The 14,059-nt window shown below is 32.8% G+C and overlaps 1 protein-coding gene across 8 annotated transcripts in view; it reads right to left on the bottom strand.

Annotated features, from left to right (window-relative positions):
• Nucleotides 1-14,059, bottom strand: part of ZBTB20 (zinc finger and BTB domain containing 20) — an 832,789-nt gene that overhangs the window by 656,335 nt on the left and 162,395 nt on the right. For all 8 annotated transcript variants that reach the window (NM_015642.7, NM_001348801.3, NM_001348800.3 and 5 more), the window contains one exon: nt 3,532-3,582. The gene's annotated coding sequence lies outside the window, so the exon portion shown is untranslated. The remainder of the gene's footprint in view (nt 1-3,531; nt 3,583-14,059) is intronic.

A 14,059-nucleotide genomic window follows, 5' to 3' on the forward strand; every position in this document is an offset into this window, starting at 1 on the left:
GAAACCTCGTGTCTACTAAAAATACAAAAAATTAGCCAGGCATGGTAGTGGGCGCCTGTAGTCCCAGCTACTTGGGAGGCTAAGGCAGGAGAATAGCAAGAACCCGGGAGGTGGAGCTTGCAGTGAGCCCAGATCATGCCACTGCACTCCAGCCTGGGCAACAGAGCGAGACTCCGTCAAAAAAAAAAAAAAGATAATGCAATTTCCAAAGGTGCTACCAAGTCATTTAGAGAGAACATATGGTACAATTATGAGTATCAAAACTGGGAATTTATATATTTTAAGCCTACCATAAAACATATTTACTTTTTTTCTTTTGTTGGATGAGAGATATTCTAACGCTGTTTATTTTTTCGGAAGATTCAGATTATTCAAAGTGTATCAGCTGATTGTTATGTGTGTTAATTCAAGCACTGAGTTTAAATAATCATAACTCAACTCCCTAAAACTGAAGATTCTGTGTAAGGTTGGGCCAGTGCCCTCATTCCTAGGATCAAACCATGTAAGACCAGACAAAGGTCTCAGAGATTTTGGGGGGTTCCAGTCTTTCTCCTTTGTCCATAGACGTGTTAGGGAAAGGATGACATTTTCTTATAGTACTTACCCCAAATAACTAAAATCTCAACAAAAAATAGATAAAAGTGCGGATTGTAAAATAGGTGTTAATAATTCCTTAATCAAATCTTGTAACTAATGAAAAAACACTAGTTTATATGCAGAAGTAAACTGACGAAAGGATGAACAGAATAAACAAGGAGGAAAAGACACATTTTTAAATATGTAATTTAGAAACTGTCAAAAAAAGTGGGACATGTCTTATTTAACTGGTGTATGAGAAGAATGGATGGTTTTACAGGCACATAAATGCAGGTACAGAAAGGTAATAGGAGCTTTGTATTACAATGGAACTTAAACTCCTCTGGGCAGTGATCAGCTAAGATGGAACAGAGACAGTTACAATGCAATGATTAACTAGTGGACAAAGCTATTATTTATGGCAGGTATGTAAGCAATTGGGGCAGCAATGTTGGAGGCCCCTCCTCATCAAGCAGCTTTGCCAGTACAGACTGGATGCCTGGAACCAGGAAAGACACAAAAACAATAAAACCTAGAGCCAGCTAAGGGAGATTCAATGCAATCCATCTCCAAATTTTAAATATTACTGGAAATCTACACTGAAGAATGTTTTCCCTTGGGATTGGCATACACTGTGGTTATAGAATGTTGACCAACACTTACCTTTATTTATCTCACTATGCAGAGCAATATGCCTAAAATACCTACTTAGAAATTCTCATTATATTACAGAAAAAGGAGATTCTAACATTAGTTGGCAAAAATTTTTGTTGATAGGCATGAACATCATGTCATTACATGAACAGATCATTAAAGTGAGTCCATTTCATTGACAGTATATATTGTGGGTCTTTTTATTCTGAACAACCAAACAAAACAAACACACAAGAGGTCATTGTGCCTTCCCTCATTTGGTTGGCAGCTTTATCTGTAAAATATGAAAATAAAAAACTAACATGGACTACAATCCTGCATGTACCATTGGTACCTGCATAGTACCATTTCTGCATAAGATTTAATCAAATATTTTATTCATGTTCTGAAATCCTGATATTTGTGAAGATGGAAAAATACACGGGATATTTTTAACTTTCAACTTCATGATCTCCAGTAAAAGTAGAAAAATAATCATATTTCATATTATTTGGTTTTTTGAGCTAGCCAAAAAATTATTAGTATACAAGAAAAAAGGAAGTTACCACTCTTCACTTGTCTTCAGGTCTTTTAATGTAATCTCAGGAAAAAAACATATTTAACAAAAATGGAAATTATCATGTTAAAATCTATTCCACTTTGAAAAGCGATATTCTTTCTCCCTCTCAGATAATTTTAAATATAAACCTGAAATGTTCATAACCAAATAAATCGTCTAGCAGATAACCAATCACCAAACATTAATTTTACACAATGAGGTTTCTTTAATTTCTCTCTGTCTCTCTCACAGACACACACACACACACACATTCACACAGACAGGTTGCTAACTTGATTCTTAGTATGGTAACTTAAACTCATAACCACTCCAAAATATACTTTACCTTGATTTTGTGAATAAAAATAAATAATCTTATGGGGCAAGGCAGGGATAAAAATTAGAAGTATATTTCTAACTTTAATAGCTAATAATAAAAAGAACAGCAGAAATTACTGAAAATTATATTGCTAAAATGTATCTGTACATGTGGCTGTGAAAACTTACGTGCAAAGAGAATTCTCGTTAACTACCTTCAGAAAGAGGTAATGAAATATGAGGTTTAAGAGTACATCTTTAGTACTTCTGTACCTTAAAATATTGCCGAGTATTAATTTTTCATCAAGTTGTCATTTTCTCTGACATTTGGTTTTATTAATCAAGGCATTTATCATTAATTTGTAGAAAATATCGTAATTAAGCCAAATAAAATAAAATCCTTAAAAGGTTAAAATTAGAAAGCAGGTGAATTAGAACTTTGACATTACCCTGTTGACATACAGGAGCTTTCTGGAAGTATGAGAATGAAGTTTTTTTCAGTGAGTTTGGTGCCTCGATCTTGGGGCTGGCTGGTTTTTAAAAAATGTTATAAAGATTTGATTTAAACCTCTCTGACAGTTTTGACATTCAGGTGAAAGTACTGCTGCTGCATTTGGAACAATTTGCATATCCCACTGCTAAACGGAATGTTTGAGGTGTGCACTGGTGTAAAGAAATTAAAAACAAGCTATCACACATGCTTAAGTGTATGTATTCACAAAACTGATGGTTGGATCGCACCACCCCATCCCCCTCCAATGTAATCTGTGATTTACTCTTCTATAATAAATTACCCTACCATGTTAGTCTCACTGGAAAATCTAACCATGCATGTAAGAAGAAAAGTAATTACAGCCCCCTCTTGTCTAAGAAGCCTCCTTCAATCCCTGTGAGCTCTTTATACACAATGCAGCCACACGAGTCTATTGTAAACTTCTTGCCTGAAATTCTGGACTTCTGACTATCAGTAGCCACTAAATCTCATCTGAAGAGTTTCAATGTCCCCAACAAATACAATTTTATTTCTTATAGTTAATTGTAAAGCTCTTCCTCAGGAGAAATTGTTACTGACATTCTGACTTTAAGCCAATATGTCTGTTTAACAAAAGAACACAGTTTAAAATCATGAGTTCCAAACCAGTTAAAAAAAAAAAAAAAAAGGAGGACAGAGGGACATAATACATAATGAAATAGAAGGAACAAGAGTTAGAGCAACACCTAATTAAGCTGAAATATTCAGAAAGAGTATAAAATTTCTACTTTTTAACTTACAATTTCATATTATTTTTAGGTATACATAGAAAAAGATATTTAATGTGTTTAAGGACAATAAAAGAAAAATAATAAAATAAAAGAAAAGTTGAGGTAGCAAATCCAAGACCTTAAATATTATAAGACAATTCAAGAAGATAAAGCCCATTCAGGAAAATACCACTGGACATTACCTTCAGCCTTCAGAGTCCCAAAGGCAATTCTTAACACTTCTTTTTATTTGTCTGTAAAAAAAGGAATACTTAAAATTAGAAATCTGCCAAGGAAAACATTTGCATTTCTATAATATCTTTATGACCCAGGTAGCTGAGTTTGTGTATGCCAACTAATATCTATAGTTTTAAAAAGAAAACTGAAAGCTAACACATTCATATGTGTACAAGTACTCAGTAAAACGTGGCCCAAATATACAATCTAAACCACTGCATATACATTTTTGAGGAGGCATAGCACGGTGTTTGCTATAGTATCATAAGAAGTTATCTTAACTCATAAGGATATTTGCATTTTTATTTCATGTTTTCTTTTAAGAAAAGCAAATCCCAAATTGCTTTTAACCTATTTACTTGCTCATTCTTATTAACAGAGAGTTCGCAAAGTTCTATGATGTATAATGTACTGGTCATCACTGGTGAGTTTAAAAGTATGCAAAGATAAAACACAAGCCCTATTCTCAAAATAGTAGGTAAGGTTAGAGATATTTGCATAAACTCAGATAAACCAAAGAAAATAAAAAGAAAATGGGTGGAAAGAAATAAAGATGCAAAGGGTAACATGTTCAGTACAGCTTAGTACCTAAGGCATTGACATTAAAACATGGCTTAATATTTCCTGTTTTAGCAGAAAGGCTAATAGTAGGGTCCTACCCATATTTAGATGCAAGGATGCCAAACAAATGGATGGGTTGCTTTTAAATTTCTTTAGTAAAGAATTGAAGCTGGATGGGAACAGGCAGGATGTTGAGTTTACTTTAAAGCCAATTTGGTGATTTTGACTATAGAAAGATTTAACTAAAAACAGCTCTCCTATTAAAAATTGAATTTGATGTTGTGTTCCCATTAGAAAATGATCTCTCTAAATTTGCTATGAAATCTCAATGATGACCTTGATGCCACATTTACTAATAATCTCCACAGAGATTTAGGCATTCAAAGTTTCAAAAGCAGTTTTAATAATGGAAATGCAATACCTAAACATATGCTTGATTATATAATCTAGTACATCTACAGTAAAATGCCCATTAAAATTTTAAAAATCTGAGGATTTTAATTGACTATATCATTAATATGCATGCACAGTATTTTTGCAAACAACAAACCACACTAGTAAACCAAAACAAACCTAAGGATTGGTTGCACTAATAGACAAATAGGGTCCAGAAAAGGAATCTGACACTCCTGTTATATTTGGGGTGCATCAGCATTATTACAGTTATTCTGCATCAGCAAACTAGGAGGGATGCTAAAAGTTAGTAACTGCTAGGAGGAGTGAGACCAGAACAATTAATGATGAAGAAATAGGATGATTAGGAACAGAAAAGAAAAAATGTTCTGATCATAGAGATAAAGTGGAGGACACCTTTGAGAAAATTAATTTGGTAACTACATGATATATTACAAAAGTTACTTTTATTAATTTATTACCTGTCTCTTCCTCTAGAATGGAAGTAACATAAGGGCAGGCACTTTCTCTTTTTCACTGTAACCCCATTTTCTTGAATAGTGCCTGCCATATACTAGGATATCAATGAATATGTACTCAGTGAATGAATGAACAGCCTAACCAATAAAACAGGCACTAAATCTGTATCTATTTACAGATGAGAAATTTAGGCTTAAAGAAATTAAATCATGTACACCAAATTAAATTGTCATTCTGCAACTACAAACTTCTACAATGCATTCTTTATTCTTCCATTCAATATTCATTCTAGCAACAGGAGAAACAGACAATAAACAAATAAACTGTTAGACTTATAATGTCATATAATTAGTACTATGAAGTCAGATAAAACAAGATAATGACACTGAGAGTTACCTGGCCTGATATTTTAGATAGATTTGGACAGGGAAACTTCTCAAAGGACGTAAGAATAATAAGAAACCTGAATCAAGTAAAGAAGACAGTCAAAACAAAAAAATCTGAAGGACTGGCTGGGTGAGGTGGCTCACACCTGTAATCCCAGCAGTTCGGGAGGCCGAGGCAGGCGGATCACCTGAGGTCAGAAGTTCAAGACCAGCCTGCTCAACATGGCGAAACCCCATCTCTACTAAAATACAAAAAATTAGCCGGGCGTGGTGGCGGGCACCTGTAATCCCAGCTACTCAGGAGGCTGAAGCAGGAGAATTGCTTGATCCTAAGAGGTGGAGGTTGCAGTGAGCCAAGATCGCGCCACTGCCCTTCAGCCTGGGTGATAAGAGCAAAACTCCGCCTCAAAAAAAAAAAAAAATCTGAAGGACCGTTTGAATTGTTTTAGGATTAAATAATACATATTTCCTTGCCTAGTATAATGGCCAGCATATACCAAACAGTGTACTCAATACTTTTTATTATATTGCTAATATTTTTATAAATTATGTTTCCCCACTAGATTACATTGTCAAAGGCATTTACTGTTATTTTCCTTAAGGTTCCTTAAATAGTGCCTAGCAAGAGCTCAATAAACACTTAGAGAACAAAAATAGAAAGACACAATTTTCAGTTCATTAATTAGAAAATAAACAGACTACATGAATATGAAAAAGTCACCATCTTTCGTATACCTGAATCAATCAAACTCTGTTAAATCAATTTCACATAATATTTCACCTTTCCTAAATTAAAAAAAAAAGAAAAAGGGGAAAATATATTAAATGGCTAGGGCCAAGAAGTCATAGATAACAAAAGAATAAGAAAGAATCAGAAGAAAATTAAGTTATTAACATGAGGCCACTCTCTTTACTATTTACATGCTGTCTGACTCCATCAGATTAACACATTTTTCCAGTGAAGGGACATTGCTACACAGATATCTGATTCATTTATGTATTCCTAATGCAAGCACAAGCCTTGCTATGTAACAAATAATCAAAAAAATCTTTGTTGTCCTGAAATGAACTAAAATGATGTTTAGTAGTTTTGATGCTTTAAAGCTAGCTCAAAACAATAACAACAAACCAGGGGACTGACAAACTTAAAAAACAAATTTAAATGAGAAAACATCAAGCATTAGGTTTGAGTCCTATAGCAAAGAAGCAGAGAACAAGGTAGGTTCTTTCCAAAGAGTTAAATATAAGTGACAGTGTGATATTGGCATTGGAAGAGATAGATCAGTAGAAGAGGCCAGGGGAACTTAGGTATGGGGTAAATGTTACAAGTAACATTTCCATGAACAATGTTGAGATAGCTGACTGATTACCTGTGGCAAAATAAATTCTGTTCTCTAATTCTTATCAGTACTAAAATATAAATCAGGTCAATAAAACTCAATATAATATATAAAACAATCAAGGACCTCTAAGAAAATACATATGTATAATTTTCTGAACTCCAATGTGGGAAGGACTTTTAAAGTACATACACAGTGGTATATAATATAAGCATAAAGATTTATGATGTTTACTACTTAAAATTAAAAATTTTAGCCTGGGCAACATGGTGAAACCCTGTCTCCACAAAAAATACAAAAATTAGTTGGACATGGTGGTGCACAACTGTAGTCCCAGCTACTCAGGAGGCTGAGGTGGGAGGATCACCTGAGCCTGGAGAGGTCAAGGCTACAGTGAACCATGATCCTGCCACTGTACTCCAGTATGGGCAAGAGAACAAGACCCAGTCTCAAAAAAAAAAAAAAAAAAAGTGTAAGGCAGAAAACATCTTTAACAAAATTCAAACTTAAGAGGCCAATAAAAAATAAATATTTTTAAAGTGTATAATGTTCATTGGGTTAAGAGTCTTTATAAATAAATAAACATATTATTCTACTTTTTAAAATGAGCAAAATACATGAATAGGCAATTCACAATAGAATTGTGAGTTCTCTTCTAAAATATGGAATGCATTTATAAATATATTTAAACATATATAAAATATATTTTAAACTATATATAAAATAGTAATACTTATTACTATTTATTATTAAATAATATTATTAATTCTAATACCTATAAGTAATAAGGTGAAATAAGAAGCTAAAATACATATGAAATAATATTAATCTGCAATAGCAATGAAAGAAATGCAAATTAAATAAACTAAAATATTTTAGAATAGTGAACTGGTTAGATAAATTATATGTAATAGGATATTAAGTGTTCATTAGACATGGCAAGTGAAAATATATAATACATCATTAAGCTTAGAAAACAGGTTATAAAATGGTAATAATGATAACATACCATACCAATATTTAATAATTTTTCTCTATATAATATAAATACAGACTATGCACAACTTTTGGTTATGTGCATATGTAAGTATAGATCTGTATGTACCAGGTGTGTGTGTGTGTGTGTGCTTGTGTGTGCATTAGAAAAAGTATGTATGTGACTGTAAAAAACTTAAACTACATTATTCTTTGAATTTATCTTAAGATTATGACAGTTTTTTTCTTCTTAGAATTTGTTTCCAAATTTTCTGTAATAAAAACAAATTACTTTTTATAAACATAAAAAGCACTAAAGAAGGCACCTAGTTTATGTTTCAGGAAAGAAAAATTTAATTTATATTATTAGAATTCCTGAATGTTAAGAAAGACATTTGAAAATGTCTATCTGTCATTTTTGGTGAAACCTTTTTAACTGCATAGATTTTTTTAGAGAAAAAAAAATGTAAGGAAGGAAAGGAGAAAGGGCAGGTATCGTGAGGAAGGGAAGAGAACAACAAAGAAAGAAAAATAGGATTTATAAAGATAACAGCAACTACTCAGAATGGTATCTATTAGGTTCCTAGCAACCAAATTTTAACTGGTAACATCTCCAATTAAACTTTCAAAGAAAAGCACAGCCTGGAATGTAGAAAACTTAAGTTGGAGGTTACATTTATACTGTGAACATACTTTTACAAGAGAAAATAGATGAAATGTTCATCGATTTCAATGATAGGACTACTGTATAAAGAGAGACAAAATACACCATGAGAACATAAGATGCTCCAAATCAGTTTTGGAAATAGGAGTAGTATAAATTTCAATTAAGTAAAAGTTTAAAGTAAGCAAATTTTAAGTAGCTATAAAATCATGCTGTTCATTCCCATATAAGAAATTTTCAATCCATAGTCCTTAACATGTCATTCAAAACATATGACCCTACAACATATGAACTATGACTTCTGGTTAATTGTTTCAATGGACATTATTTTGTATAAGGCCTTCCCAATGAGTACAAAATGAATAGAAACTGTTAAAGACCATTATCTATTAATAATTATAGCAAACAAGTCTTCATTAAATAAAAATTTAAACATAAGGTTTAATTGTATTTTATTTTAAAAGGCAAATGAAAGCCAATTGATCATCCTGAAAGATCATAAAGAACCTGTACAGTTCCATCGTCAAGAAGACAAGGATACATTCCTTCAAAGACTGGAAAAGCTTTAATTTCAGTTCATCCATAATCATGCATCCTAAGGTGGAGGTATTCATTTTGGATTTGGATATATTATTAGAGTTTTTAAAACACCAGGGAAATCTGGTAAGTTCTATGGTATATTCTCAAAGAACATTTCATAAGATTGGTCTGGCTAAACCCCATACTAAAGCCATCTGAAATAAAGTCAAATTCCATGGAGCTGGAGCTCGAGAGCAACAACAAAAGACCATTCACTGACTCAGTTATACTTGCTCTTAGGTATTTCAGGTTCGCTTCTAAATAGGGGGAAAAAGTACAGAAAGATTAGGTACTAAATACTGTTTTTAACTCTAAAATACAATCAATTTTTTTCTTTACTTGTCTGTTTAAAAGTAACCCGAGCCCTTCCTTTTATTATGTGAAGCTTCATTCTGTTTATTTTTATTTCCCAAGAGCAGAATGCCTTAAATAAATTCTTAAAAACCAACACATCAACAAATAAATAAATTAAAACTCAGTGACTATAAAAAGTACACAATCTAACCTGCTTAATTATTAACAGGTAAACACAATGAACTTCTAAATTATTTACTTAATCCCCTTCAACTAAAAACTTTAAAGTTTTTGGGCTTGAAATGTATATCCTTTCTAAGGGTCCATAAAACAATTATTTAAAAATCTATTTAGCCATTTTAGTAAAAGCAATTTTAAAATACCAAGGTAAATATGCACTTAAACATTTACATAAGTTCATAAAAAATAGAAGACTTTTTTTAAATTTCACAGGTCAGTAAAATTATTTTTCTTCCAGCTTTCCCTAGTCTTCTGTCAGATATTTCACTCCACCATGAGCAGAAATATTCAGTACTAAATTATATTAGATTGATATAATAGTTTTGAAGTAAGCATTTATAGAATACTCTTATTCCTGAGTATACCATAAGAAATGTATAATTATGAAACTATAAAAATATTAATAATTTTGAAACTTCAAGAAAAAAAGAATGAATAAATTAAAAAATCACCATTTTCTCCAGATAAGACTGGACTATTTTCACCAGCGTAGCTAATCACTGAAGAAAGATTGCTGCTTGATGCAAGTAACCATTGATTACCTGAAATGTTGGTTAGTTAAATGTTCTGGTTAGCTAAGGGTTCTAGGGGGAAAGGTGTTTTTGTTTTTAGATCATTTTAACTAAAAATATAAGATGTTCTACTAGATTTCTCTGCTTTAGTAAATAGGGAATTATAATTTTATCTTTCACTTAAAATGAAAAAATTATGTTGCCTTAGAGGATGGCTCTTGAACTTTTGGGAAGTCAGAAGGGCCTCTGGGACGATGAAAAAAAACCAAGAATCTTTTTTCTCTAGAAAAGTGCATATGATCACGAAATTTTGTATGAAATTTCCAGGGATCCAGAGACCCAATAAAAACCCCTTGCTTTCTAATTTTACAGAATTCTAAATAACTAGACATAGGAGATTGCACTCATACAGTAACCCCCAGGACAAAAGGAGAATGTTTGAAGTTCCTTCAGAAGACAGGCCTAATAATGAGCTATTTTGTTATGATTTGTAACCTTTCTTCTAAAAGGGGTGTGTAAAAACAATTCTTGTTAATTTAGTCTTGGTTAAAGGTTAAATATGTTTCCTTTAAGGACAATTGCATTACAAGGTATTTGAGCTTTGAAACAAAATAGTGCTGCTTTAAAATCATTCCACATTTTAGAAGTGACAGCAATTTTCTTCCTATATTTTTGTAACAATAGAAGGCAGAGTCAAAGAGAAATCTATTTAATTTTCATCTTTACTTCTAAAGATTAACAGATAATAGCAAATACATGAGCAGTCCCCATATTCAGGTTCTGTTCAAAGCGCTTTTATTTGTATTTACTTATTTAAACCTAACAAAAACTCTAGGAGGTAGGTAATATCATCATACCCACTTTATCAATGTGTAAACTAAGGAACAGAGGGAGTAAGTAATTTGCCAAAGGACACCCTTTTACTGAGCGGCAGAACCAGGATTTATGCCCCCGTCAATCTGGTTGCAGAGTTCGGATTCCTACAGACCATGTTCCATTTCCAGCTTTAATCTTTCATGAGTTCTTCAATCTTTCATGAGTTGATGGTTTTTCTTGTGTGTTATTATATTTAACACAAGTCTACTTCTTCACTACCATGCAAGGAACTTTCATACTGGTTTTCCCAGAAAAATTCATTTGGTGAATTGTTCATAAGATGCTGACAAAACTGGCCCCACCTTTGTGCAGCTGGCAGTTTTATACCATAGTAAATTTCCCAGAGTCAATGCCAAAAATTAAAAAACTAAGGTACCACCAGCTAGTAAGTGTGGAATTATACAATCAAAGCTGACCTCTCATTTCCTTTTTGGAAATAGTTTTCATGGGATAAATATGTGAATGATTATATTCCAAAGGCAACCAAGACAACAGTATAAATGGGCAATATTATCATAATAACTTCTCAAAGGCAGGATTGTCTGCTATTCCTAATTCATCTGATGAGAGGTACACCAGTCGATACAACTTTTAATTTCTAGTCCTAAATCATTTCTATGAAATAACATGTCAAAGTAAAATGCATACTTAATGAGGGCCAGCAAGGGGCCAAATTTGCAGTATGACTATTTTCTTGAAATATCCTCTTGGCAGATTGCTACCAAAGACAGCAACCAATTTGTAATGCAGGATTTGCTTTTAGTGTACCAATCTTTACACATTGAGTAATTCCATGAAGAGAAAAGGCTGACTTAAAAAATAAATAAAATAAATAAATCCCATCCTTATGGTTTGCACAGAACAGGTTTTAGTTATAAATTCATTCCATTTAATTTTTATTGAATTACTCCCTAAAATAAATGCAAACAGGCAGGTACCAGTGAGACACAAGTATAAAAGGGCACAATAAAGCAGAATGTTCAAAGTCCTGTGGGTACATGTGCACAACACGCAGTTTAGTTACATATGTATACATGTGCCTTGTTAGTGTGCTGCACCCAGTAACTCGTCATTTTTTAAAAATCTTTGTCCTTTTCTCAAATCCTCCCTCCAAAGTCCAAAGTTTTTTTTTACATTAGACCTATAGACTTTTATGAAGAAATTCATTTCAATGCAGCCAAGCTAGGCTGGGAATGAGAACCTGGTTTAATATAAAAGTATGCCTGGAATAAAATATCATCCTTTGCCTCTATCTATCTCTATATCATCCTACACACCATAATAAAACAAATATTTGGAAATAATCTAGTTATTTCCTATAATAATTCCTAATGATTTACAGTATCAAGTCCTATATACTTGGTTTTCAAATTCCTCCATAATCTAGTTCCATTATATATCCTAATTCCAAATAATGCAGAAATTATACTGTCTCACCCAATGAAATAAGATTTTAAATAAATATACATTGTTTCAGCAAACAATTATTGGGTTTACAATGTGTCATGCAATGTTCATGTAGCTGAAATATTTTCACATATATATCAGGCTTTTCCTATGCCCTCAACATGTCCTTCACGATGTCCTTCCTATATAGTTCAGCATGAGGTATTCGTCTCTACTCTGTCAATTTCTGTTAAATTCATAGTGAACTCAAATTAATTTTAACTCGAGAAATGCCAGTTAGAGAAATTAAAGCATGATATATAATTACACCGAGGAACCAGATTTAGAACCGGAGAAGCATTGTTTCTCAAGGCCGTTCTTGTCTTCATATTTCATGGTCAAAGGTCAATGTTGAAAAAGCTGATGAAAGCTAATAGTAAAACTCTCAAGTCTGTACCCAAGCAAAGCACCTGATCAGTATCTGATCCAAGCAAGTCAAAAAAGGAAAGAAGTTTGTGTGTAACTTTTGGCTTCAGACTGATATGAAAGGCTTCATCCTTTCAATTAAGGCATAGACTTTTGCCTATCTGTGATATAAAATATATTAACAGCTATAGACTAGGAATTTTTACATTTAAGCCAAAATACAGCCAACAGAGTTTAAATTTTAAGTAATTTGTTAAACTAAATTAACTGAATTTTCAATTATAGGTTTTAAATGCTTAGAAATTTTCCATACGTTTGTTATAGACCTCTTGTTATTTTCTAGTTTCAAAAATGTGTCTTTGCATAAACTCACGGTTTTCAGGTTTTTCACAACTGCTTCAATAAGCATTACAGTAATGCTTTTTAAAACGAAACGATTTCCTTTGCTATATTATTGCCCAGTTGACGTTCTTATCCAAAGCCAGTTTTGCTCTCTGAATTTACTTTTTTCTTTCTTCTCCCCAAAGGTGTATTGATATGATACACACTCCTTCCATTTCCTGGTTTAATTTGAACATGTCATCCTCCCACATCATAATCCAGTCCATCTACCAACAACTTATTTTTCTTCTGTGAGACTGGCATTGATGATGGAGATCACAGGGTTTAGGATGTCTCTTTTCAGTTATTGAGCCTGGCCCATTCCCAGTCCTAATCTTTTTCTTGTTAAAAATCAATTATACATATATATATTTTTATTATACTTTAAGTTTTAGGGTACATGTGCACAATGCGCAGTTTAGTTACATATGTATACATGTGCCTTGTTGGTGTGCTGGACCCAGTAACTAGTCATTTTTTAAAAATCTTTGTCCTTTTCTCAAATCCTCCCTCCAACAACAGGAGACAGCTTTCTTTAAATGTCCCTGCTCCGTCACCATTTTCTGTGAACAAGTCTCTGCTCCATCAGGATGCACAACAACTACCCAGACCCATGTAGTGACATTCCAAATAAGCTTCTCTTTGGTCTTGGAGCCAAAGAACCAAGTCCTAATTCCCAATTTCTCCCAAACTTTCACTATCTCAGTGTATTCTCTCTTCTCACTCTTATTTCTATCAAGACACCTATGAATGGCCTTCTCTTTCATTGAACAACAGTTGATTCAGATACAATCAATTCAATAACTCTCATTTTAGATCAGAAACATACATTTATGTTTAGAAAAGACTAATCAATTGAGTACCTAAGAAAACAAACAAGGAGCTAATTTAATGTCCTGTTCCCAAGAGCACTCTCACACAGACACAGAAACAAACATACACTCACACATCCCTACACACCAACTGTTTTACTAAAATCCAGCCACACTACCTTTTTTGTC

This window comes from Homo sapiens, chromosome 3 (assembly GCF_000001405.40).
Source record: "Homo sapiens chromosome 3, GRCh38.p14 Primary Assembly".
Classification (NCBI taxonomy): domain Eukaryota; kingdom Metazoa; phylum Chordata; class Mammalia; order Primates; family Hominidae; genus Homo; species Homo sapiens.